The sequence below is a fragment of the Homo sapiens genome, chromosome 12, assembly GCF_000001405.40.
Source record: "Homo sapiens chromosome 12, GRCh38.p14 Primary Assembly".
Taxonomy (NCBI): Eukaryota; Metazoa; Chordata; class Mammalia; order Primates; family Hominidae; genus Homo; species Homo sapiens.
The window spans coordinates 101,232,977-101,238,642 of NC_000012.12; positions in this window are offsets into that span (position 1 = coordinate 101,232,977).

A 5,666-nucleotide genomic window follows, 5' to 3' on the forward strand; every position below is an offset into this window, starting at 1 on the left:
AGAAGTTTGAGACCAGCCTGGGCAACATAGTGAGACCCCATCTCTAAAATAAAATTAAAAAATCAGCTGGGCATGGTGGTGCATGCTTTTGGTTCTAGCTACTTGTATTGTTGTTGCTAGCAGTTATACCCAGTCTTAGCACTTTTGTTTTATATAATACGCATCTGAAAAAGATGTATCATAAATTGATTTTTTGATCAATCTAATAATCTAAGCAGTCTTTGGTGAACCCTTTTGTAAAGATCATACTTCAAAACAGATACTCATTCTTTAATTTACTTTATCACTCAGTTTTTGCATGTCAGGTTTAAGATAAGGTGGGCTTCTTCTACTGCAAGGACTAAGGAATGCCTAAGGGAGATGTCATACCAATGTGGCACCAGAGTAGCAAGGGTATTCTTAACTCTTGGGCTCTGTATGGCATGGGCACTTGTCTCTGGAGATTCTGGCAAGGGTCTGGTCCAGCCCTCTCTGTGACTGAACTAGCATAGAACTATCTTTATACTGAAGCAAATGGGCTCAGAACCCCTAAGATGAGAAGAAGGAACAACAGCAGAAAGCAAATGTTCGGAATTTCCTTTCCTCTAAAGGTGCAAGAAGTATCTCTTCACATTGCAAGAGCTCTGCTCAAAGGCACTGTGGGGGTCTTTCCCCCTACCCCCTACTTTCTTCTCCTAAGTGTAGCCACCTGGACCAGGTGGTTATGTTGGAACTGTCATTGGCTAATGGGAGTTTGATGCCAAAAGAAGGATAATTGATTCCTGAGAAGCTTGGCCTATCACAGATGGGAGAAATGCTCCCAGCTCAGCCCTGGCTGCTCTTCGAATTCTAGAAGTTGGAGGGATTTTACTACTCAAGTGGAAAACTTGGGCAGACCAACCTAAACCCAGTAAATTAAGAGCTTTCACTTTTCCCTGGAAATTTGAAGCTTGACTGAAGAATTTGGAAAGTTTGCAAAGTCTTATTAAGCTGAATCTATCGTCAATTTAATTTACCTTCCATGGCACCCTGTGTGCTTAATCTGACAAATCTCCTCGCTTACAACATCACAAACCCCTTCACCTGGAAAGGAGCAGCCCAGAGAAAGGAAGGAGAGCTGAGCTTTCCAACTCATTCTCAGATTAGGAAAGGGACCATTAGGCCTCAAAACTTAACTCTCAACTTTATGTCTAGGAAAATGGAGTTACATGGACCTAAAAACATTAGCTCTGTTCAGGCCATTGCTTTACAAGCATCCGAGAGGATGCTGTTCACCCCCAGCATGATGAGAAACAGTCGAACAGTGGGGCAAGTTGGCGGAAAGAAAGGCTGTATCTAGAATCTCCTAAGGCAGTTATTCTACCATTACTGGGTTTGAAATGTGGAAAGTCCATCCTTATGAACAGGTTATGTTCCTAAAGTCCATTTATTTAAAAACTGGCTTGGAACTAGGAGTAGTACCCTACCCTGGCCCCAGACAATTGTTTCCTCTTGTTTTATTAATTTTTTTACTTTTGATATTTGTTTTTTTGAATATTAGTTTCTTGGAAGGGTCTCTGATTTTATTAAAATTTTAATTGTATTAGGCTAATACGTGTATATCAGCAAAACAGCCAAATAAGGCTATAAGGCTTTTAACCAAAACAGCAATAGTGTCCCTACCTCTGATTTCCACTCACCAGCAAAAAAAAAAAAAAAAAAAAAAAAGTACATTATATTATTTTAGTTGTTTCTTTTTAATATTGACCACTATATGTCTACGTAGCTATGTATGATAGCTATTTCCTGATGTTTTAAAGCTTAGGTATTTTCTGTTAATTTCCTGCTAGGGAAATTTAGCTCTCTTACCTAGCCCCCTCCTTTCCCTACCTTCACACACATATACACACACTTCCTGTTCCATAATTCCCCAAGAGAGATATGTCATAATTTTTTGTTAGAGAAATGGTCAACACATATTTTATTTTTGATTATATAAATATTATTCACAGCTAAGTCACACAATGTGCTAAGAAGAAATTGGCTTTTTTATGTAACCTTGTGCTTTTCTTAGAATTAATAGTTGTTTCTCTTTCTTTTCTTTTTTCTTTTCTTGTTTTTTTTTTTAATCTCTTAGAAATTTTTTCATCTTCAATGTTCCAATTACTCTCCACTCTCAGGCCAAAACTCAAGATTTGCAAATAAGTAACAATTCTCAACCTTCTTTCAAGTTTCTTTATTTCAAGTTTTTTTCCTTCTTTCTTTCTTTCTTTCTTTCTTTCTCACTGTGAGATACAACTCTTGAATAAAAAAACTGTACTCAGTGAGATACAACTCTTGGGGAAAAAAATTGACTAATCAAAGAAAGCCTGTGTATTTTTTAAAAAAGACATTTCCATTAACAGAATTAGAAAAGACTCTGTCTTGCCTTTCTTTCTTTCTGGCAAAATTCTTCTATTGATGTTCTTTTACAGAAAGGTGAGTTCTCCCTTTTAAAAATAAAACAGGAAGGGGAACAGCACACTCTGGGGACTGTTGTGGGGTGGGGGGAAGGGGGAGGGATAACATTAGGAGATATACCTAATGCTAAATGACGAGTTAATGGGTGCAGCACACCAGCATGGCACATGTATACATATGTAACTAACCTGCACATTGTGCACATGTACCCTAAAACTTAAAGTATAATAATAATAAAATAAATAGAAAATAAATAAATATATATATATAAATAAATAAATAAAAATAAAACTGGAAACTATCAAAAGCACAAAGAAAAGTGACTCTAAGGAAATTCATGTTGAGAATAGAAGGCATACTGTGTCAGGAAGACACTGACTATATAATAAGCACTACTGAAATATTTGAAAGGATACAAAAATACCTGTTCCCATGCCTGACAGCCTCAGCCCTCTCAGTTCTATACGCCTTCCATGTGTTGGCAGTGTTTCACTGCTTGGGTTTTTTAATGACAGGTGGCTATTACTAGATGATGGTTAAACCAAAGAGTTATGAGGCACTAGGGTGCTCCCTTAGAAATTTGCGTACCTCTCTACCAATGGAGTCAGAGGAAGCAAAGTTAAGACCAGGAAGTGGTCCTCACAGACCAATCTTCAATGGGGAATTTCCCTTTTTGTTTGTTGTTGTGGTAGCATAACTTTTCTATTTGTTTTATTCATTATTCCTTACAATATTTGAGTAAAACCAGTTGATCTGACTCAACTTAAATAAACATAGGTAGATTTTGGAAAGGTTATAAGGAACTGCTTATTTGCTAATTTAAGAGCCTGGTCAAGGTGTAACAAACAATGAACACTAATGAAATTCACATACTTTTTTGCTTGCTACCTGCTAATGTGTCCTTTTCTTGACTACAATGTAATGAAGTCTTACAGAAAGATCAGGTGATCCCCTTTCTTAAAAAAGGATCTCATAATTTAGATGTGTAAATGAGGGCTGTTGCCTTGAGAGACTATATTCTAGTCTCATAATGCTGCCATTAACAAAGCAGTTTCAGAAACTCTTCTTCTAGAATTATTTTCAGCCCTGGGTCGGGCTGCCAGACAAAATACAAGTGCCCAGTTAATTTGAATTTGTTATAAGCATGGGACATAAATTATAATGAAAAATTATTCACTGTTTATCTGAAATTCAAATTTAACTGGGTGTCCTGGAATTTGGTGGAAGAGGGGGATGGTTTGGTTGGTTGGTTGGTTTTTTTTTTAACTCCAGAAACCCTATGTCTGTGCACTTGTATGTAAACAACTTGACTGATGCCAACCTTGCTTGGATGGTGGCTGTGATTTTAGACACAGTCTAAAGTCTTTCAAAGTGAAGTCTGATGTCAAGAAGGATAATGCCACTTTTGGTTAAAAATAACACTATAAAGTAAACAGGTTTTCTCATGGGTCTTGTAAACTGTCTCTCACAGAAATGCTTAAAGAATTTTTGAAAATGGGTTTAATCAGTGGCAGAATTTTATTATTTTTATTTTTATTTTGAGACAGACTCTCACTCTGTTGCCCAGGCTGGAGGGCAGTAGTGCAATCCTAGCTCACTGCAGTCTCCTGGGCTCAAGTGATCCTCCCACCTCAGCCTCCAGAGTAGGTGAGATAACAGGCATGAGCCACTGTACCTGGTCAAAAGGCAGGATTTGAAAGAGTAGTTAGCTTTCCAAAATATTCAGTGAAAAAGGTAGTCAGATTCTGAGCAGGAACTAACAAAACAGAGCCATAGGTTTGTGTACAGTATAAATGTTAGTATCATATTAAAGATTGACATTCACCTGCTGAATCTTTTACAGATTTGGTTGTGTGATTTTATTATTTGCATATAAACTTATAAAGCCTTTGGCTGTGCTTTGGAAGAATGGTACAAGAAGGAACACTTCTCCAGAGATAATCAAAAGAGTTAATCTCTGGTAGATTAACTTTCTCCTTGAAAATTTTGGTTATGGTACCTTCCTGTCACCACGATAGGCTATAAGCCTCAGACTCTGTGTTACAGTCACTCTTATTCACCAACATTCTTGGCAGTGCGCTACTTCATAAAGTATCACTGCATTGCAGGCACTTTTTCATCCTATTGTTATTGTTGTTATTTTCATAACAACACTGCAATATTGACATAGCAGGAATTATTCTTCAACTTTTGCAGACGTGGTTACTATGGTTAGGAGACAGAAAGTGATTTGCTATTAAATAGCATCAGACACAAGCCCATTGTACTAAATGGGTGCTTTTTTCTTTAGGCCAAGCTGTCTCTGAAAGAAAAGGAAAAGTTGAGTAAAGAACATTTTGAGTTTTCCTCTAAACTTGACGGTTAAGCTGTGACTCAAAAAAATAAGGAAGGTGGAAGCAATATTTTACTGAAATGTGACATCCCAAGACATATTTGTTGGCTATTGGGTTCTATATGGAAATTTAAAAATTAAGCCTCTTTCAAAGGTAACTGAACTATCAACCTGTCTTACTGTCTATGATTGATGTCGCCTGAACGTGTGGTCCTTAAAATATCACTTAGATATGATAAGACATCACTGGAATTAAATTCGGAGGTGGCCACATTTTCTTAGACAGGACGCAATAAAACACTAAATATAAAAGGTAGAAAAAAGTATAGATTATGTTAAAATTGAGAACTCTGTTCATCAAAAGCCATCAAGATGAAAAAGCGACCATAAAGTTGCAGACAATATTTGCAATAATTATATTAGATGAGTCACTCCTAACCAGAATTTATAAAGAATTTCTACAAATCGATAAGAAAAAAGACACTCAACAGAACAATTACCAAAAGATTTACAAAAAAACAAGAGGATATTCAAATAGCTAAAATGTTTATTAAAAAGTGTTCCTCTTCATCAGTCATCAGGGAATTGCAAATTAAAACCATAATGGGATGATATTAGTACTTACCCACCAGAATGGTTAAAATAAAAAAGATGTAAAATGCCACGTCTTGACAAAGATGTGCAGCAACCAGAATCCACATATGCTATCGGTAGCATTGTAAGTTAATACAACCTCTTGGGAAAACAGTTTGGCAGCATCTACTAAAGCTGAACATATGCCATCCCTAAGACCCAGAAATTCTCATATGTGTATGCCAATGCATACATGTGTTCACAGAAAGACAAGCACTAACATGTTTGTAGCAGCACTTTAAATAATAGTCCCCAAGTGGAAATTTCCCAAGTGCCCATAGAC